Source organism: Homo sapiens, chromosome 4 (assembly GCF_000001405.40).
Source record: "Homo sapiens chromosome 4, GRCh38.p14 Primary Assembly".
Classification (NCBI taxonomy): Eukaryota; Metazoa; Chordata; class Mammalia; order Primates; family Hominidae; genus Homo; species Homo sapiens.
In genome coordinates, this window is record NC_000004.12 from 3,600,929 (window position 1) to 3,623,644 (window position 22,716).

Consider the following 22,716-nt stretch of genomic DNA (forward strand, 5'->3'; position numbering starts at 1 on the left):
GTTTGTCTCCCTCTGAGTGACTCTCCATGAATCAGGGACCTGGCGTGAAGGAGCCACAGAATCTCCAGTGGGCAATTGTGGGGCTGATGAAGGATGTTTTGGGGTGAGAGGGGTGGTTAGGGAAACCAGCAGGGGCTGGGAAAGCCCGTTTACCTGGAGCTTACCTGGGAGCACCTGGAGGAGCAGCCTCACCTGGACATTGTCCAGAAAATTACCCTTCCCTGCCTTGGGCCTGGAGGGGCAAGGGCAGAGGCGCTTCCCGCACCTGGTGGGCACTGATTTCCAGGAGCTGCTGGACCTCTGGGGTGACCCAGGTGGCCCTCCCACAGCCCAGCGGTCAGGGAGCAGGGGCCTCATGTGCCCAGACCCACCTCATTGAGGGCAGGAAGCCTGAGGGATTCTGTGCGCAGGGGAAGCCTGGGTCCAGGGCTGAGGCTTGTGCATTCGTCCACTCTGTCCTTGAGGGCTGTGCGTGCCTGACAGCAAGGAGCTTGGTCCATATATACTCTTTCTTTGTTTTTCTGACGCCGTGGACCCTCCTCTGTGTGCAAGGGAGGCCCTGGGCCCGGCTGCTGGAGCACTGACCACCCGCATGGCTGGTGCTCTGAGAGGCCGGATTTAGGCCCAGGCCTGAAACTCCCAGCCAGGCTGCCTCCCAGGCCAAGGACTGTGAAATGTGTTCTGAAGACAGCAGGCTCCCAGGGTTTTGAGCCTGGGGGTGACTCTGGCGTTTGAAAGACCCCTCTGGCTGCTGTTGGGGGAATGGTCTGCAGGGCAGGAAGGAGGCCGCTCCCAGCCCAGAGAACCACACCTAGGCAATGGTCAGAAAGTCTTTACGTGTAGGGCAGATGGTGCGCTGTGGGATCCCCTGCATCCAGCGCTGGCCCAGGCGCCTTGGCAGGGGACCGGCTGCACCTGCTTCTCTCTTCTCTCTCCCCCTCCCACTTCCCCATCAGGAACTGGGTCCTGCTGGCTCAGGGTAGACTGCCATGGCGACAACCACCTCTGCAGCGCTGAGTTCCTGGAAGCCTCACTTTGTCTTTGCTTTATCACGGGGGAGATGAGGAGAGAACTGAGACCCAGACAGGAGCTGCTCCTGCCCTTGGCCTCATGTCCATATGCCACAGCTGTCTCTGATTGGTTGCCCTGGGGAGTGGGCCCTACCCCAGGCCTCAGCAAGTCCCTGTGGGGGTCACTGGGCAATTGTGGGCCAGAGCAGTGTGGGCAGAGCTGTGGGTGGCTGCACTTGGTCCCACTGCCTTTTCAGTGCAGCCATTGCTGTCTCTGTGGCATATTCGAGCTAGGGTGGGTCTCTGAGCTCCCGCCTCAGCTTTCTGCCTTGGGGGCCCTGCCTGGGGACTTTTCGTCATTCAGTACATCTCCCTGTTGGCCTTCCAGAGCCACCCACCTCCTCTTCATCCTTGATCTGTAGCAAAGTGGATGTGAATGTCCCTGAAAGACTCAGACCCTCCCCGTCTGGAGACCCTGCCTGAATGCAGACTGTCATCATCTCTTCTCATCCATCTTCCTTTCTGGCCTGGGAGTAGCCAGAACCTTCCAGGGGCTTATCTGATCCTTGTTGGCCTCTCCAGGCCCTGGCGTGGGATGGTGTCAAGGAAGACAGGTGACGATTGATCATGAAAGCAATGAACAAATGGGTAGTGAGACTGCTGCTGGGTCCTTGTGAGAACCCTGCCTGGCCAGACCCACTAGGACTGTCCCATTCAACAGCGTAGGAGACTGAGTCTCCAGGTGGGGGATAAGGTTACCGTCTCAGGGGGGCGGCTCCTTGCAGTGTCCTGTCTGGTCCTCGTTCGTCTGCATAACTCTTATCATCCTTCAGGGCTCGGTTTAGGAGCTGCCTCTCCCGAGAGGCCTTCCTGGGCTCTTCTTTGTGTCCCTATTCCCCTTTCCTTACTTGGCCTCAGCCCTCCACTCCCCTTGCCTCCCCCTCTGTCCTGTGAGCTTCCCAAGGGCAGAGCTGGCTTTAGGGAGGCGCTGCCCAGAGGGACTTGCAGAGAGGATTGCTGTTCGTCTTCCAGATGGCCCAGGCAGCTCTCACGCTCTTGGTTCCACCCACAGAGGCCCTTGTTCCAGGGGTAGAGGGTCCTCCTGGGCCCTCCCCTGCACCTTTGGTTTGTCCCCAAGAGGACAGGCCATGCCTCCTTTACCTCTGGTGGCAGCGCCCCCAATCCTGAGCCCCTCCACTCTCTCCGGGAACCCGGGTGCCTGGGGGTCCTTTACAGAGCTTCCGGGTGTCTGATAAGGGCTGCCACAGACATACTGGCCAAGAGGAGAAACCAGCCTGGTTTTTTATTTTTGCACCTTCTTAAAAAGAAAACAACAGCATCAATATGTTAAAAATAAACTATTTTTACTTTAAAAGGGCAAAAACAGCCCAAACAAAGAGCCAATGAAAAGATCTTGGCTGGAGGTCCCGGCATTTACTCATAGCTGCCCAAGGGTGGAAATGATTCAGACAGGGACCCATGGAGCAGGGCGCCAGCAAAGTACCAGCCCTACTGTGTGCCAGGGAATGGAGAGAACACCCCTGAGAAGCACATGGTGCCTGCACAGAGTGTGCTGAATGAACCAACAACAGGGCACGTGTCTTTAGAGTAGCTTCTGCCAGAGAGGAGGCATGTACACCAGTAGCTTGTGGGGCTGGGAAGTCAGGGAAGGCTTCCAGGAGGAGGTGGCGGGTCTGTGCTGAACTTTGAAAGGCATTCCAAGCAGAGGGAATGCTGTGGAGGAGCCAGTGTGGTGTGTATGGGGTACCTGTGCTGGCAGAAGGGTTCAGAGCAGCGCTCACAGGCCAGGGAGCCCCAAGTTCAAATCCTGCCCCACACCTGGAGGAGCTGGGACCTCTGGCAACCTGCTCACCTCTCTGGGCCTATGTGCGTGTGTGCAAAGCCCCAGGCAGGGAGACCCAGCGGCTTCAGGGCTGTGTGTGTGGAGCATAGAGTGAGGGTGCTGCTGCCGCCGTACCAGCCCTGTCCGGTCAGCACCTTCCAGTGGGTTGTGCTTCCCCATTTGGCCAGACTATCTGTTATCTCACTGGGCCCCAAACACCCCTGGGAAGTAAGTGGGACTTTCAGAAGTGGGAAACAGCTGCTCAGAGAGGTTGAGTTACTGGCCCTGGGGCACACAGCCCAAAGAACAAGGAAATTAACCCTGAGTCGTTCTGTCTCGGCCACTTTGGTCTCTGATGTCTCTAGTCAGGGGAGCGGGGACCCCAGGGTGGGAGGGGGCATGAGGAGGCCCTGTGCATTGAGGGGCCGAGGGTCTTGGGCCAGGGTCAACATTCTTCTAAGTTGTTGTGGATTAGCAGGCCTCTTGGGGGCAGTTGCACTGGCTGAACTGGAAGGGAGTTTGAATTCATTCATTCATTCATTCATTTACCCATTCATTCATTCATTCATTCACTCATCCTCCTGGCTCCTTACTCTGCCCACACTGTGCTGGGCACCAAGGGCATGGGGGGCAGTGGCCTTTGGGCTCTGCTTCAGGAGCTGCTGCTCTGCGGGTGGGGGCTCACGAGCTGGGGTTCGCCAGGCCTCTGGGACCAGCATTCTCAGCTCACCAGCCTCCCGCTAAGAAGGCCCTGGCACCTGTAAAATCCAGTTTCCAGGTTCCACTTGGAGACCTGGACTCAGGAAGTCAGAATGAGGTGAGGGACCTGCATTTATCACCTCCCTGCTGGTTCTGAGGCAGAGCCCATTGGCCACACCGGGCTGGCCTTTGTGGGACCTGGACTGGTCTGAGCCCAGGACCAGGCTACTCCTGTTAGAAGCCTCTCGTGGGACCGCCCACTGCCCCACCTCCCTTCCAGGTCCCTAGGACTCCTGCAGAGGGAGGGGCTCGGGAGGGGCTTGCCAGGATGTCTGAGGACCAGAGGTGGGGCAGCGGGGGGCCTCCAGTGGGACTGTGGGAGCTGTGTGGGGACGAGGACCGGGGCCTATAGGTGGTCAGAGAGCCAGTGGGTTAAGGGTGAGCTGAGCTGCCCGAGGCCATGGACCAGGGAGAGGCAGGCAGGGCATGCCTGGAGCCCTCGTCACTCCCTAGGCTGGCCTCCTTGGGCACGTGGGTCGGGGCACTTCAAGCTTCGCAGGGAAGGCTCCTGGGGCTGGCCTGATCATCCCACAGGGTCTCGGGCCCAGGACCTCACTAGTGAAGTGGCAGGTTCTGGGCCTCCTTAGGGAATGTCCATAGGGAATGTGTATGTGTCCCGTTTCCTCGGTAAGGGATTGGAGGGGCAGGGAGCAGGGGCTCTTGGCTTCCCACCTGTGGTGGGCTCATAGCCCCCTTTGTAGGAGACCGTTGGCCTCTCTGAGCTTTAGTTAACTGTGTGGGAACCATGGAGACCTCACCGGTTGTTACGAGGCTCGAGTGAGTCAAAGATGGTGAGGCCAGGTGTGGCCTTGGCGCTCAGTAACTGCTCCAGATGGGCTGGCTGTCACCATTACCCCAAGCCTGTGCAGCCAGGAGTGATGAGCCCGGCAGGACCCCAGCTCCGATGTCTGCAGTCTCCCTGGGCTGTCCTTTGGGGCGCGGGGCTCCCTCTGCTTTAGGCTTCCGGCTTGTCTGGTGTCTGGGACCCCTCAGTGACCACATCTCCAGCCCCTTTCAGCCACCCCCTCCCCCGTGGGCTGAGGCAAGGACAGCTAACCCTCTCTCTTTCCCAGTCCGTCTTGGCTCGAGACCTTGGCTCCACGTCCCCCTGCCTGAGGTCTGGCCTGACCAGCCCCTGCCCGCCTCCGTATGTCCGAGGGCCTGCCAGGCACAGCCAGCTCCTGCCGTAGTCTGTCTGCCGGCCCCTTGAGCTCAGCGGTCTCTGATGCTGGCCGGAATGGCAGGAGGCTGCGTGCCATCGCTGTAACCACTGTCAGGTGACTCCTCTTTTCTCAGGCAGGGACACAGAGCAGGATGTGGGGCCAGGCAGGAAACCACAGGGTCTCTGTGTCCCTCAGACACCTGGGACTGGAATGGACACTGTGGCCCTACAGGGTAGAGAGGGTTGCCATCCCACCGAGCAGGGGAGTGCCCTTGGACTCTGCCCAGCAGAGAGGTCTCCTCAGAGCTCAGACATCCTTGGGCCTCCCTCCTTGTCCCTGTCTGTGTCCATGAGCACCAGCCTGAGATGTCCCCATGGTGGGACAACAATGATGCATTTCAGCACTTTTAGCTTGGCCCCAGGGAGTAGGTAGGGCTAGGCTAGATTTGTCAAATGGATGAGTGAGTGAATGAGTGAGTGAAAGAGTGAATGAGTGAGTGAGTGAATGACTGAATGAGTGAGTGAGTGAATGGGTGAATGAAAAAATGAGCAGGTGAGTGAGTGAGTGAGCAAGTGAATAAGTGAACAAGTGAATGAGTGAGTGAGTGAATGAGTGATTGAGCGAATGAATGAGTGAGTGAGCAAATGAATGAATGAGTGAATGAGTGAGTGAGCAAATGAATGAGTGAATGAGTGAGTGAGTGAATGAGTGAGTGAATGAATGAATGAGTGAATGGATGAGTGAGTGAATGAGTGAGTGAGTGAATGGGTGAATGAACAAATGAGCGGGTGAGTGAGTGAGCAAGTGAATAAGTGAACAAGTGAATGAGTGAGCGAGTGAATGAATGAGTGAATGAGTGAGTGAGTGAATGAGTGAGTGAATGAATGAATGAGCAAATGAATGAGTGAATGAGTGAATGAGTGAGTGAATGAGTGAATGAGTGAATGAGTGAGCAAATGAATGAGTGAGTGAATGAGTGAGTGAGTGAGTGAATGAGTGAGTAAATGAGTGAGTGAGTGAGTGAATGAATGAATGAGTGAGTGAGTGAATGAGTGAGTGAGTGAATGAGTTAGTAGGTGAGTGAATGAGTGAGGGAATGAAGAAATGAATTAGTGAGTTCAGAGCCCATAGACCCTGGAGGACGAAGGTGCATTAGGCCCCTCCAGTTCAGCGAGTTCCTGGGAGGTCTCTGGATGCTGTGGGGTGCTAAGTTGTCACCTCATGATCCACGCAGATGGGGCCTCACTGGCCTGGGGCCAGGCTCAGGGAGGAGGAGGATGCATCCCTGTTCCTGGGGACCAAGCCACAGTGGGGTGGGGCACGTGGGTGAATGCAGAGTCGCCTGCCTGGGTTTGCTTTCCATCTCTGCCCTTGCCTGCTGCTTGGCCCTGGGCCTTCTACTTCACCTCTCTGCTTCTGCTTATTTATCTGCAAAATGGGCCTAGTGGGGGAGCTGTGAGGATTGCATAACTGTGGTGCATGAATGTGTATGTAGGGTGGGGCCTGCACATGGGAAGCCCGATTAGGTATCAGTATCACTGGGCCAGGCACTCTGTGGGCTGCTCCCAGAAGCCCATCCTACGGAATTCACACACCCGGCATGCCCACCCTGCAGCCTGGCAGCCCTGTCTTCTCCCAAGCACATCTTCCACGGCCCTCACCCCACGCAGCTGCCCTGCCCCTCAGGCTCTTCCTCAGCCTGCTGGAAGCTGGTGCCTCAGGGCCTTTGCACTTGCTGCCTGGAACAGGATTCCCTGTGTCCACGTGGCTCCCTCCCCGGCCCCCGTGTCTCTCCCTAAGCAACCCCAGCGAGGTCTCCCCTGCAGGTGACCCCCCTGTTTTATGGGTTTTGTCTCTCGTGCACTCTTGCTCCCTGTGGCTTTCCTGGCATGGATCGGGCACTCAGAGTGCATGTGGAAAGAAGGAATGGTCTACAAGGAGCAGTGCAAAATGCGCTACGCACAGGCGTGTGCAGCCATGAACCCAGGACAGGGCTGAGGCCTCACATTGAGTGTCCAGGGGAGAGGAAGGATGTGTCCAGAGCCTGGGCGGAGGGCAGGGCCAGGCCCGGCCCGGGACAGAGGAGACGGTCTATGCTAGCTGCGTAGGGGTCCCGGCTTTGTCCCGAGGGCAATGGGAAACCACAGAGGCTACAGGCAGAGCCATGCTGTACAAACCCTCCCTGGAGAAGGTTAATGACAGGTGGGGGAAGAGGAGGGCCAGGCTGGGGGCAGGCCCAGGGCAGAGCTGGCGGCCAAGGTTGTGCACAGATGGTGAGACACTCACAAGCAGGGAGACTGTGCCAGGGGCCATCTGACCTTGCTGGACACAGAAGAGTGAAGAGGCCTCCTCCCTCTGAGCAGAGCCCAGGGCCCGCCCTCGCCCCGGACACTGTCTGCCGAGGGCACGCACCCTTCCTCCCTCTCCACTGAGGTGGGGGCACTGCTTTCTGACCTGGCAGGCAGCCCTGGGCAGAGGGAGCTGAGCTCTGTCCTGCCTCCGACTGTGTGTGCGTGAGAGATGGGGGCCTGGGGGGTGAGCAGGGCTGTCCTTCGTCTAGGCAGCCTGCAGGGGTGGTACGCCCACCGGCCAGGTGGTGCTGCTCAGTGTGCACTGTGGCCATGGCAGGGGAGGGCTTATTAACATGCAGCTGTCAGGTCTGGATATAGCTTGGCCAGGGGCCAGGCTGAGCTTGAAGGAGTGATAGTTTGCAGTGGTGGGGCTCATTTTAGGGGGCTCCATGACAGCGGGGATAGAACTTATTTGTCTCTGTACTCTCAGCATCTAGCACGATGCTTGGAACAGAGTGGAGGAGAGTAGACTTTCTGTAGAATGGATCAGCAGTGGTGTCCCACAGCCCCACCCAGGGTTCGAGTCAGCGTGGCACGCATTCAAGGAGAGTCTCGAGGGTTCCATGATGAATGCACTGCTGTCTGCAAGATGAGAGGTGGCTGGTAGGGCAGGGAGGGCTTCCTGGAGGCACTGGGGCAGGGAGGGATCATGGGGTGGTCACTCTCTCAGGGCAGAGTTAGCTCCAGGGCTGTGGCCTGTAGGCGCCAACCCTGGGGAGCTGCTGGTCCTCTCCTCTGCAGAGCGCTGCCCTGTCCTGCCCCTGGAACCCCTGGGTAGAGTTCTGTGACCCAGCACACCTGGACGGTTCAGGCTGGCCCCTGACTGTGCAGAGAGAGCAGAGGCCCCAGGCCACCGTGGAGGTGCTTGAGCCTATGGTCCAAGGTAGAACCACGTGAGGAGGGCTTTGATGCATGAGGAGTCAGAGCCAGGCCGAAGCATCTGGGGTCAGTGACACAGGCTCCGGAGAGCTGGCTGTGCTTCTGTGTCTCCTCCCAATGCTGCTTTCAGTGCCTTGGGGGCTCCAAGTCAGCCACGGTTGGGTTTACACCATGGATATCAGCAAATGCTAAAGTCAGGGCTCTCCCAAGCCCCGATGCAGAGCCAGTTGTTAAATCTTTACCAGCACGGCACTGACAGGGAAGAGGGAGAGCTCAAAACAGAGAAAGGTCCCAGGCCGAAGGTGTGGACAGGACGCCCAGCACATGCAGGCACATATAGACACGCTTACATGCAGACACAGATACATCCAACACGCGAAAACACAGAGACTTCAGACAGGCAGACAGACACATGCACTCACCCACACGCCACAGGCACAGCTATGCCCCAACACACAGACACATGCACACATACATTCACCCATGAGAGCACACTCAAACAGGTTTGCATACAGTTAGAAACACACACTGGAACTCTCAGACACACAACTCCATGTGTACACACAGCCACACACAGATGCACACACACAGGGAGGTGAGGCTCAAGGCTGTGCAGCCTTGTCTTGCTGCCGTCTTTCCCCTGGCTTGGGCTTGTAGAGGGTGTGTTTCTGACAGCTGCCCAGCCCTACCCTGGGGGCTGCTTGATCTGGCCTCTGTTCATTGGCCACACTCTGCTAGGATATGGCCCCAGTTTGGGCCATTGATTGACTCATTGTCCCTTCACTTATCACACACTTTTCATTTATGACCCAAATATTTGCTCACTCATTCATCCACCCACCTGAACATCCATCCACCCATCCATCCACCTATGTACCATTGATCCACCCATCATCCATGATATAATCATCCATCCATCCATCCACCCATCCATCATCCATCCATGCATACATGCATCCATCCATCCTCCATCCACTCATCCATCATCCACCCACCCATCCACCCATCCACTCATCCATTATACACCCACCCATTCACCCATCCACTCATCCATCATCCACCCACCCATCCACCCATCCACTCATCCATTATACACCCACCCATCCACCCATCCACTCATCCATCATCCACCCACCCATCCACCTATCCACTCATCCATTATCCATCATCCGTGATATATCCACCATCCACCCATCCATCCACTCACTTGAACATCCATCCACCCATCCATCATCCATCCATCTATTATCCATCCACCCATTCAACCACCCATCCATCCATCATCCACCCACCTTAATGTCCACCCATGCGTCCATCCATCTACCCATCCACCCACCCATCCATCATCCATTCACCCATTCATCATCTATCCGCCCATCCACTCATCCATCCATCTATCCATCATCCACTCATCCATCCATCATCCATCATCCACTCATCCATCCATCTATCCATCATCCACTCATCCATCATCCATCATCCACTCATCCATCCATCTATCCATCATCCACTCATCCATCCATCATCCATCATCCACTCATCCATCCATCTATCCATCATCCACTCATCCATCCATCATCCATCATCCACTCATCCATCCATCTATCCATCATCCACTCATCCATCCATCATCCATCATCCACTCATCCATCCATCTATCCATCATCCACTCATCCATCCATCATCCATCATCCACTCACCCATCCATCTATCCATCATCCACTCATCCATCCATCTATCCATCATCCACTCATCCATCCATCTATCCATCATCCACTCATCCATCCATCATCCATCATCCACTCATCCATCCATCTATCCATCATCCACTCATCCATCCATCATCCATCATCCACTCATCCATCCATCTATCCATCATCCACTCATCCATCCATCATCCATCATCCACTCATCCATCCATCTATCCATCATCCACTCATCCATCCATCTATCCATCATCCACTCATCCATCCATCTATCCATCATCCACTCATCCATCCATCATCCATGTTACACCCATGCAACCACCTATCATCCACCCATACATCCACCCACCTTAACCTCCATCGACACATGCATCCATCCATCTACCCATCCACCCACCCATCCATCATCCATCCACCCATCCATTATCCATTCACCCATCCATTATCTACCCATCGTCTGTCACCCATCCATTCATCTGTCTAAACAGGTATTTCCTCCCCCCTCACTTGCCCTTGTCAAACCATCAATCTTTCTGGGGCCATGCTGCGTGTCTCGGGAAGACTGTGCTCACCTCAGGCTTTGTGTTGTGTGGTTTGTGTGAGTGGTTTGTAAGTGTGTTGTGTGTGTGTGGTGTGTTGTGTATGCATGTTCATGGGCAGAGGCCTCCAGGAGCACCCACACACGGGCAGGGATGTTTGCCCTCCCTTCACACTGTCCGCCACTCCCCTCTCTCACTCAGCCCCTGCTCTCTGTAGGAGCGGGATTTCTCCTCCGTCCAGGTGGGGGTGGTTTCTGACACCTTGGCCTGGCCTCCTGCTCTCACCATCTGTGCCCAGGGGCAGGTCCTTGTCCTGGAGCCCCCACACAATGAGGGCCCCTGAATGAGGGTGGGGGGTCAGCAGGGTGCCCCGTTTCCTGACCCTGCTGCCTGGGGAGGCTCCCAGCTGAGCAGGAGCTGAGAGAGGCCCTTCGCACTTGCTGGCCTGGCTGTTAGCTCAGAGCCCAGCCTGGAGCTGCACATGGGCTCTGCTGTGTACCGGGGGTGGTGGGGCAGGGTGGTTGGCACCCTTGCCTCCAGCAGCACCCAGGCTGCAAGTTCCCCAGGTTGTGAAGACCAAAGAGAGAAGAAAAGCAGGGACTTCCTTTATTTTTTGGGGGAGGTTTCTCATGGGAGCGGCCTTGGGCACCAGCCTAAGGGGCTGAGAGACAGGCTAGCGTGTGGAGCGCGGAGAGCAAGGCTGGGCAGAGAGGCATCTTCTCAGGGTGCCTCGCCCTGGGGGCCCAGCGGCAGGTTACAGAAGGGAAGGGTCCTCGTCACTCCTCGCGGAGTCGAGGGTTGCGTGGTCTGGGAAGGCCGGGGGCGAGGACTGTGTCTTCCTGACCTCCTGGAGTGTGGAGACAGAGCTGAGGATGCCTGTGGGTTCTGCTCAGGGACTGGGGCCCACATGTGGGAGACAGCCTCACAGACCCAAGACCTTGAGAGCAGACCCTGCTCCCCAAGCCCACTCTGCATGTGGGGTGTCCCCAGGGTCCCACGGAGCTCTGGAGTCATGGAGTCACCTTGCCTTAATTAGCTCTTGGTGCTGTTTGAGTTTACTTAAAGGGTGTAGGGCAGGAGGAGGCAGTGACTGTGGGGGTTTGAGAGGATTTTGGAGGACAGATCTAGGGGTGGGGGTCCCTGAGGGGTTCAGGGCGGGCATCCCTGTGTGTATGATGGACCGAGGGCAGGGAGTGCAATGCCACTGTCCCAGGCCACTGGGCAGGAGGACTCTGCCTCCCCTCTGGGATTGTTCATTTCAGAGACCCTGGCCTCCTGGCAGTGAAGCTGCAGGTCTCAGTGCATCAGAGATTTCGGGTTTCTCTCCCTGCCCACCTGGGAGAGGTGTGGGCAGACCCCGGAGGCTTAGCCAGTGGGGAGGAGGGGTGGGCCTATCTGCAGGTTGCCACAGCAACAGCTACTTCTTTCCCACAAGGCTCCAGGCTGGGAGACAGCAGAGGGCCTCTGTGGTGACCCTCCAGGCCCCAAGACCTGATCCCAGGCAGGGGAACAGGCTCTAGGTTCTGGGGAGGGGCTGGTCCAGTGGAGGGTGGGGAGGGAACTTCAGGCAGGCTCCCCATAGCTCAGTCCAGAGGTCCGAGAGATCTGGGGGAGAAGGATGGGATGGAGGGTCTATTCTAGGGGTGTAAATGCCCCAATCCCTGAGGAAAGGGGTGCTCTGATGGAGAACAACACACATGCCACACACTCATGCAGACATCATACAGCACATGCAGCATACATGCAAACACACCACACACACTATGCACACCACACATGGCACATGCATCAGACATGCAACACACCACACACATGACAGGACACACACAGCACACACACCATACAAGCAACACACCACACACATCACATACACCACACACAGCACATGTTTCATACATGCACCACAACACACACAGAACACACACCACACACGGCATATGCCACACACCCAGCACATACATCATACATTCAACACACCACACACATCATATGCCACACACAGCACATGCATCATGCATGCAAACACACCACACACAGCACACATGGCACATACATCAGACATGCAAACACAACACACAGCACACATGGAACATGCATCAGACATGCAAACACAACACACACAGCACACATGGAACATGCATCAGACATGCAAACACACCACACATACCACACATGGCATATGCATCAGACATGCAAACACACCACACACAGCACACATGGCACATGCATCAGACATGCAAACACACCACACACAGCACACATGGCACATGCATCAGACATGCAAACACACCACACACAGCACACATGGCACATGCATCAGACATGCAAACACACCACACACAGCACACATGGCACATGCATCAGACATGCAAACACACCACACACAGCACACATGGCACATGCATCAGACATGCAAACACACCACACACAGCACACACGGCACATGCATCAGACATGCAAACACACCACACACAGCACACACGGCACATGCATCAGACATGCAAACACACCACACACAGCACACACGGCACATGCATCAGACATGCAAACACACCACACACAGCACACACGGCACATGCATCAGACATGCAAACACACCACACACAGCACACACGGCACATGCATCAGACATGCAAACACACCACACACAGCACACACGGCACATACATCAGACATGCAAACACACCACACACAGCACACACGGCACACACGCATACTGCTGTAAACACACACACACACACACACACACACACACACACACACACACTACACAACACAGAACGGAGTCTCAGCCACACGGGCCAGAGTCTGGGTTGGAGGAGGGCTCCCCTACCCAGTGACTCTGCCCCTGGGCTCTGCCCCTCCCATCCTCAGCTTCTCCAGCCAGTCACCAGGAACTTATCCTGAACCACCGGCTGGCAGACAGCCAGGGTCCAGGCCTAAGGTTCTGCCTCCTAAACTCTTCTTTCTGTGGCCTTTTGCCCTCTCTCCCGCCCCCGGATCGAGGCCTCTGCCATCTCTCTCCTGGACGATGAACTACAGTGGCCTCCGACAGGTTTCTCGGCCTCCCACCTCCCTGCAGCCCAGCTCCCTGTCACTTGCTGATGGCCCCTGCTGCCCTGGGATGCAGTCCAACTTCTCAGGCCGGTGTGGCAGATGGCATAATTGGCCACAATTTTTCACTCTGCCCTGCATCCAGGCCCTCTGCCAGGAGACCGTTCCTCCCTCAGAAGGAGGAATGCGTGTCCTGGCCCTGAACTGGGCTCACCCCGGGGCACGTGGGCGGAGGAGAGAGTGTGCAGGCCCGGGGCCTGGGCCTACAGAGGTGGAGGGTTTTCTACTCTCCCCAGCACCTTCGCCATTGCTGAGGGAAGCAGCTCGTCCCCACCAGCCCCCAGTCCACGAAGGAGAAGCAACAAGGGGACACCCCAGACCCAACGGCTCCAGCCAGCCAGCCTCCCGGCGCAGCCCAGATAAATTACTGCATTGCGCGCCGTCGAGATTTCACAGGTGCTTGTTGGCTGCAGGGGCTGACTGCTATGGGGCCCTGCACCCAGCTCCAGCCTCCTGGGCAGCCTGCACGTCACAGACTGCTGTCTGCCCAAGTGCCCACTGCGGCCTCCACTTGTCCAGAAATGTTCAGTGAATACCTCCTCACTCCACATCTCCCTGCCCCCCGGGAGGTGGGGTCAGAACTCAACGGTCAGGAAGATTGAACCAAGCCCTCATGTCGCTCCAGTTCCTCAGGCTTTGGGGAGGTGCTGGGCTCGGCGTCCTTTGAAGAGTCTTGTATTAGTCCGTTTTCACACTGCTGATAATGACATACCCAAGACTGGGTAATTTATGAAGAGAAAGAGGTTTAAGGGACAGACAGTTCCACGTGGCTGGGGAGGCCTCACAATCCTGGTGAAAGGCGAAAGGCACGTCTTACGTGGCAGCAGACAAAACAGAATGAGAGTCAAGCGAGAGGAGTTTCCGCTTTTAAAACCATCAGATCTCAGGACTTACTCACTACCATGAGAACGCTATGGGCAAACCGCCCCCACGATTCAATTATCTCCCACTGGGTCCCTCCCACAACACATGGGAATTATGGGAGCTGCAATTCAAGATGAGATTTGTGTGGGGACACAGCCAAACCATTTCCACTCTCATTCTCCCCTCTCCTGACTTGGTCTCCCTGACTCTTTTTCTTTTTATGCCACCCAGGTCCTTCCTGCTGTTGAACGCGTCATTTCATGCAGGCTTCGTGGACTGGGCTCACCTTTAGGCAGTGTTTTCAGGTGGGCGGTGGGAAGGCCGCACGCCCTCCGCCTGTCCGGAGTGTCTCGCTATTGCTGTCTCGGCTGGCGCGTGGGTACTGGCGCGTAACCCGGCACCACAGACTGGCAGCTTCAACAGCAGAAACGTACTTTCCCCCAGCTCTGGAGGCTGGAAGTCTGAGATCAGGGGTTGTCAGGGTTGGTTTCTGTCTCCCTGGCTCGCACGCGCCGTCTTCTCCACGTGTCCTCACAGGGCTGCCCCTCTGTGCGTATCTGTGTCTTCATCTCCTCTTCCTATAAGGACACGTGTCAGATGGGATTAGGGTCACCCATGTGACCTCACTTCGTATTAATCTCCCCTATCGAGTCCCTGTCTCCAAACACGGTCACATTCTGAAGTCCTGGGACTCAGGGCTTTGACAGATGGATTGGAGGCGGACAGAATTGCCCCAGACGGCTGAGCACAAAGTTCCTGGGTCACCGTGAACGCTGGAGATGGGGAGAGGTGGCAGGGGGGATTAGTGTGATGGCCCTCCAGGACCCCAAGCCCCATGGTGGGTGGACCTCAGGCACGGGGTCCCTTTAGGGGCAGGGGGCCTAAGGCGGCATTGAGTGGTGGGTTTCACCCCATTTCCCCAGCCTAGCTTGCCTGTCCACCTGCGGGAGTGGCGGCGGTGTGAGCTGTGGTCTCTGTTGATTGCAGGGATTCTGGTGGTGGGTCGGCGGGGTCTGTGTGAGGGCCACTTGACATGCCTCTTTAAACCAGAAGTGTTTTCCTAAACTCCTGGGGTTTGCGCCCCACATGTTTCTTTTGTCTGACTTTAAGAAATGGCATTCGCGGTTGAAGCTACAGATTGATGCCCAGTGACAGTTTGGGCTCTGTCTCGTTTGCTACGTAGTATGCTTATATTTATTTTAGTACAAACGATACGTCATTGTATGTCCTCTTTGCTCCCTTACTTTTATATTTCTAAGCAGTTGGCTTCTTTGTTTAAACTTTTATGATTTGTAGCTCCATTGCATTACGAGAAAGCAAGAGTGGTGTAAATTTTGCATTTTAAATATTTACTTAGATTTACTTTGCGTCTAAATGGTTGCAGTAGGCATCCCTGTGCCAGGCGCTCCTGCAACGCCAAAGCCCTGCTCATCTTGTCTTCCCACCCCTCGCTGGACTCATGTATTATGGCCTTCAGAGTGGACCTAATCCCTTCCCCCATATTTATAAAGATTTCCCTTTTTTTTGGTGTTTTGCTGCTGTCTTGGTGAGTTCACAAATGCTGCTTACTGTTAGCACTCCATCTTTATTTGCATATGTGAAGATTATAAAATGATTCCTGATGTAACAGTGAATGCTTCCTGTTGTAAATTCAATTTTGCAATACTAATGTGCCAGCCCCAGCTTTCTTGACTTTTACTGTAGTCTGTGATTTTTTTCATCTTTTCATTTTAAACCTTTCTGTGTTATTTTGCTTTATGAAGTCTCTTATAAGTGGTAAGACATTAGACTGGTCTTTTTTTTTTTGTAATCAGAAATCCTTTATATTTACATAATTCTACCTGGTATTTGGAATGAGTGTGTCATATTGACCTCTCGTCCTTCCCCTCCCCCTCTTCCCCCTCCTTCCCTCCCTTCTTCCCTCCTGTCCCTCCCTTCCCCTCCCAGTCTCCCTTCCTTCTTCCCTCCCGTCCCTTTCTTCCTCTACCTTCTTCCCTCCTATCCCTCTCTTCCCCTCCCCTCCTTCCCTTCCCCTCTCTCCCTTCCCTCCCTTCCCTTCCCCTCCCTCCCTCTCTTCTTTTCTTCCTCCCTCCCTTCCCCTCCCCTCCCTCCCTTCTTCCCTCTCATCCCATTCCTTCCTTCCTTCTTCCCTCCCATCTCTCACTTCCCCTCCCTCCCATCCCTCTCTTCCTCCTTCCCTCCCCTCCCTCCCTTCTTCCCTCCTGTCCTTCCATCCCCTCTCCTCCCTTCCTTCCTTTTCCCTCCCATTCCTCCCTTCCCCTCCTCTTCCCTCCCTCCTTTCCCCTCCCAGCCCTCCCTTCCTTCTTCCCTCCCATCCCTCCCTTCCCCTCCCCTCCTTCCCTTCTCCTCCCTCCTCCCTCCCTTCTTCCTTCTTGCCCCTCCCTTCCTTCCCCTCCCTTCTTCCCTCCCCTCCCTCCTTTCCTTCCCACCTCCCATCCCTCCCTTCTTCCTTCCCCTCCCTCCTTTCTTCCCTCCCATCCCTCCCTTCTCCTCCCTTCCCTCCCTTCTCCCCCCCTCCCTATCTTCCTTTTTCCCTCCCATTCCTCCCTTCCCCTCCCCCCCTTCCCGGACAATGAGACGGCTGACCTGCACCCATCATGACTGTCTAAGGGACCACCTTCTTCCTGTTGACCACCTCCTCTTCTTTGCACCCCCCAATTCTTGTTTTTCTACATGTGGTTACTTTTCTTCCCTGCTCTATAAACCCCTAAATTTAGCCAGTTGAGGAGATGGATTTCAGAATGAGCTCCTACCTCCTCAGCTGCGCACCTGCATGAAGCCTTCCTTCTTCCCTGCAGTATTCATTGTCTTGGTGACTGGCTTTCTGTGCAGTGAGCAACAAGACCAACATCAAACTCCTGGTGTTTCAGTCACATTTTTTCTGTCCATATATTTCTTCTTTTAAAAAATCTGTAATGATTTAGAAGGCAGATATCGTGTTTTTGAAACAGTCTTAAACTTATATTTGTCTAACAATGAAAGATTAAACAATGACATTTGACTCCCTTTTATGGAAAACAGAGAACTTAATGCTGCTCCTCCTTGTTATCTTCATCCCTTTCCTAAGTGCATTAATTTCCTCTGAATTTACAAACCTCATACTTTTTACTTGAAATTTTAAACCCCTTAAAGTTTTCCAATGCGTTCCACTTTGTTGGCATTGTTATAACTGTATTTTAAATTTGTGTGAGCAGCAGCCTTTCTCACAAGAGTTGTGAATGCTTTGATTCTCTTATTTTTACCTGGCCTATCATTCCAGCCCAATTCTTTCTATGGTGATGTCCCTGCTGTCCTGTTTGGTATTTTGAAGGATTCCGTTCAAGCAGCTTTTACAGAAGAGGCGACAGGTGCAGCCATCTGGAGCTTTTAGAAATGGCCAGAAAGTTCTCAGGTCCTAGGGTTTCCCACACAGATATGCCAGTATCAGTTATCCCATGGTGTATTAGTCCTTTCTCACGCTGCTGTAAAGAACTGCCTGAGACTGGGTAATTTATAAAGGAAAGAGATTTAATTGACTCACAGTTCTTCATGGCTGGGGAGGGCTAGGGAAACTTACAATCATGGTGGAAGGGGAAGAAAACGTGTCCTTATTCACATGATGGCAGGAAGGAGAAGTGCTGAGCAAAGAGGAAAAAGCCCATTATAAAACCATCAGATCTTGTGAGAACTCACTCTCTATCATGAGAACAGCATGAGAGTAACCACCTCCATGATTTAATTACCTCCTACCAGGTCCCTCCCACACTACTTGGGGATCATGAGAGCTACAATTCACGATGAGATTTGGGTGGGGACACAGCGGAACCATATCACATGGTCTGGAGGCATCTTTTATTTCAGCAGACACATTTGAAGACAACTTAATTTTAGCTTATTTGAAGATAATCTGTTGACTTTTGTCCTCTTGGGAGCTTTTCTGATGCCCTGTTTTTCCTGAAGTGCAAACTTCAGTGTAGCACAACACCCTCTGGCATTATTGCTCTCTCTGCATTATTTTTTTGCTCAGCATTTTCAATTTCTCCACCTGGAAAGTTTTCTTCTATTATGTTTTTGGCTGCTACTTCTGCTCCCTTCTTCATTTTCTCCTCAGGAGCATCTGCTGTGTGTGGTTTGGCTCTGTAAGACCTTCACATCCAACCTGCCTCTGTTCCTGACTTTTCACTTCTATATTTTAATTTCGCTTGCGATTTGGAAGTGTTTCTCAAATTTTTCTGTTGTACCACGACTTTGCTTTTCTGCAGCTGCAAGTCTGCCATTTACACTGAAGATTTTACAGCAGCTGTTGTGTTTCTTGTTCACAGAGGAGAGTATTGGTCTTGCCTTGAGCTCTGAGGGAGAAATCAAGTTTCAGCCTTGAGAGTATGATGAAATGAAAGGGCCTCCACAGATAATGATCTTGTCCTGGTCAGCATTACCCAGCCTCCAGCGACAGACAGTTTTAAATCCTGATGAAATTCAGATTCCTGCCTCTGTGAAGGATAAAGCAGCAGAGTTACCGGCTCTTCCATTTTCCTTAATGAATGTCAGGAGTTGTCTTAGTTGGCTCTCTTTGCCATAAGGAAATGCCACAGACTGGGCAGCTCCAACAGCAGACATTTATCCCTCACACTTCGGGAGACCAGGAGTGCAGGATCTTGGGGCCAGAAGGGCTGAGACTGGCAGTGCAGGATCCATAGGCCAGTAGGGCTAGCATCTGGGGAGGGCTCTTCCCTGGGCTGTGGGCGGCCGCCTTCTTACTGTGTCCTCACAAGGCCTGTCCTCTGAGTGTGAGGGAGTGGGGGGAGAGAGAGCTCTCTGGTGTCTCTTCTTCTAAGGACACTCATCCTGTTGGATTGCACTCCACCCTCATAATCTCATTGAACCTTAATTACTTCCTTAGAGGCACCAGCTCCAACTATAGCCACACTAACGGATAGGGTTCAATGTATACATTTTGGGGGGACCCAAATATTTGGTTCCTAAGAGGAGCTGAGCAAGATGCTCCTCAGGGAAGAAGAAACAGAGAGGACCAGGTCACAGGCACCTGAGCCCCAGGCATTATTATTGGTGGAAGGTGTTCAGTTTCTTGGCATTTTGAACAAAGACTTGGACAAAATGCACAAACCAAGCAAGGAAAGAAGCAGAGATTTATTGAAAATGAAAGTACACTCTACAAGGTGGGGGGCAGCAGCAGAGATTTATTGAAAATGAAAGTACACTCTACAAGTTGGGAGCCGGCTGAGCACAGGGGCTCAAGAGCCCCGTTACAGAATTTTCTGGCATTTAAATACCCTCTAGAAATTTCCCATTCGTTACTGGGTGTACACCCTATGTAAATGAGGTAATGGCTGGCAATCAGTCTGATTGAGAAGCCGCCAATCAGAGGCTGAAGTGACGTTACAAAGGTTACACCCTATGCAAGCGTCTGATTGGTTGTGAAAGCAACCAGTTAGAGGCTAAAGTGAAGTTACAAAGTTACACTCCTATGCAAATATCTGATTGGTTGCAGAAAGTTACCAATCAGAGGTAGTTTCAATTTTCAATCTGCAAAGCAGAAAAGGAGGGGGGTTTGCAAAGGGAATAGCCCCTGGTCCTTCTGTTACTTAGGTGTGGAAAGTTGAGGTTTTCCTTTTGATTTAGCTCTAGGAAGTCAGCGTGAATTGGCCTCAGGTTCCCTGCCTCCAGACCCTATTCTCCTGCCTCAGTGCAGCTGAGTGAGCCTTCTGTTTGGGTCATGCCCTAAGACCCAATCAGCTTTTGACCTTCTCCTGGGCAGGAGCCTGGGGGTGGGGGGTGGGGGAGTGGGACACAGACATTACATTCTCCTGAGGCAAATGCCCAGGACATGAGGACAGTCTGCCTTGCATGGGCTGCAGGCCCCTCTCCCTTTCTCTCCACTGCACCCACGTCTAGGCCTCCTTTCCAAGGATCCAGAGCACTTTGAGTGAGGAGGAAGCAAGGCATGTATAGTGCATGGAGCAGAGGCCAGGTCGTTGCCAATGTTTAATGCATATCAGCTATTTTTATTGTGAATTCAAACACACTTTTATTGGAGTATAAGGTGTGTTATAGACAAACACACTGTTATGAGTGGAATAGTGTCCCCCCAAAAGATATGTTGCAGGAGGCTGGGCACAGTGGCTCACACCTGTAATCCCAGCAGGAGTTTAAGACCAGCCTGGGCAACATAGTAAGACCCCCAAATCTAAAAAAATAAAATAAATTAGCCAGGCATGGTGACATGCACCTGTCGTCCCAGCTGCTCAGGAGGCTGAGATGGGAGGATCTCTTGAGCCCAGGAGTCCAAGGCTGAAGTGAGCTGTGATTGCACCATTGCATTCCAGCCTGGGTGACAGAGTAAGACTCTGTCTCAAATAAATAAATTAATTAATAAAAAAGATATATTGAAGCCTTAACCCCCAGTAATTCCAGAATGCAAGCTTATTAGTATATAGAGTTGTTGCAGATGTTATCAGTTAAGATGAGGTCATATTGGGGCTGGGTGAAACTTCTGCCTCAGGTGACTGCCCCATTGACTCTCTCACCAGCAGCTGCAAGACAGTTCTAGTTGTTCCATATCCTTGCCAACACCTATTATTTTCTGTCTCCTTATTTTAGTCATGCTGGTAGGTGTGTAAGTGGATTACACTGTAGTTTCAATTTGCATTTTCCTGATGATTAATGGTGTCAAACACTTTTTTGTATATTGCTTGGCCATTTGAATTGCTTCTTTTGCGAAGCATCTGTGCAAGTATTTTTCCCCTTTTCTGTGGGATATCAATCTTATTTTTGTTGGTTTACATGAGTTCTTCATATGTTTTGGTTAAGAGTCCTTTTTCAGATATATGAATTGCAGTTCTCATAACAGTGTCTTTTGATGATATGAAGTTTTTTGTTGTTGTTGTTTTGTCTCGTTTGTTGAGACAGGGTCTCGCTCTGTCACCCAGGCTGGAGTAAAGTGCTGCGATCTTGGCTCACTGCAACCTTGACCTCCCAGGCTTCAGCAATCCTCATGCCTCAGGCTCCTGAGTATCTGGAACTACAGGTGTGCACCACCACAGCTGGATAATTGTTGTAATTTTTGTGGAGACAGGGTTTTGGCATGTTGCCCTGGCTGGTCTCAAACTCCTGGGCTCAAGTGATTTGCCCACCTTGGCCTCCCACAAATGCAGGGTTAATGATTTGTGTTTTGTTTAAGAAATCTTTGCTTAAGCTGAGGTCATGAAGTTTTTTTTGTGTTTTCCTCTAAAAGCATGATTGTGTTCCCTTTTGCATTTAGATCTCCAGGCCATCTGAAATTTATTTTTGTATGTGGTGTGAGGCAGGGGTAAGGCTGCTTTCTTTTTTCCATTTGGATATCCAGTCGACTCAGCAATGGAAAAGACCACACCCCACCAGCCCCCCAGCCCCACATCTCAGACTTGTCTTTGTTATAGATCAGGTGACTGCACAAATGGCGGTGGCTTCCGGACTCTCTCTTAGGTTCTGCCCGTCAATTTGCCTATCCTTATACCAATGCCACACTGTCTTAATTTCTTGTTATTGTTTTCAAGGGTGATCTACTTGTTTGGTTCTCCTTGGTGGATCAGGTGGTCTCGGATACACTTTTCCCTTGATTTTAGTTTCAGAGCCCTGAACCATTTTGTTAGAACTCCATCATATCCCAGCTGTGTAACCTAGCCTCAGTTCATCTCATTGTACCATCTTTAACATAGAAACACAAATTCCTATCTTAGAGAGTCACTGGGAGAATTAAATGAGATAATGCGGCTGTTGTGCTTGGCACATAGAAAGCATTTAGTAAAGGTTAGTGATTTTGTAGTTTAGTGGTTGGAGGTACAGCACCTGGAGCCAAACTGCCTGGGTTCAAATCTTGGTTCCTTCACGGTGAGATGCGTGACTTTGGGAGAATTACTTCATGTGGGCCTACTGTCTTTAAAATGAGGATACTTGTAGTGAACGCTGGAGCTTAGAATGTGGATGTGGATGAAGTGCACACAGCAGTTCTCAGGTTTGTGCTCATGGGGGAAGACACTGATAATGACAATTTCCATGCAACATCTGGAGGATACAGGACCAGGCACCCCGTCTAGACTCACCTGTGACTCGCCCACATACCAGGCTACTCCTGCATGCCAGGGCACTCCGCCGGGAAGTGCTGAGTCCATATGTGTGAGGGGCACCCCGTTTTCTGGCACGTGGTGGGCAATCACTCCATTGACATTGCCTCTTAGAATCTTCCTCCTGTTGATCAGAGTGTCCTGGCCCCTGTGAGCTTGATTTTGATTTTTAGCAGCTGTAGTCCTTGTGCCTTATGGATAGCACAGTAAATCTTTTTTAAAAATATATATATATTTTTTTCTGTTACGTGAAGCACATCTATTTGTGAGGAAGGATTTTCCTCTGAGCCCTTGTTCCCTTGCTCTTCTGCTTGTGCCGCTGGTGTTTTCATAAGCTCAGTGCTGATTTCTTTCTGAATATCACTGCC

General features: G+C 52.9%; 2 annotated features.

Moving 5' to 3' along the window:
• Positions 206-707: an enhancer, noted in NCBI's record as "H3K4me1 hESC enhancer chr4:3602861-3603362 (GRCh37/hg19 assembly coordinates)". NCBI's record gives its function as "activates a minimal SCP1, AML or CMV promoter by ChIP-STARR-seq in naive H9 embryonic stem cells {active_cell/tissue: H9 hESC(naive)}" and the evidence as "EXISTENCE:reporter gene assay evidence [ECO:0000049][PMID:30033119]".
• Positions 12,934-13,549: an enhancer, noted in NCBI's record as "H3K4me1 hESC enhancer chr4:3615589-3616204 (GRCh37/hg19 assembly coordinates)". NCBI's record gives its function as "activates a minimal SCP1, AML or CMV promoter by ChIP-STARR-seq in primed H9 embryonic stem cells {active_cell/tissue: H9 hESC(primed)}" and the evidence as "EXISTENCE:reporter gene assay evidence [ECO:0000049][PMID:30033119]".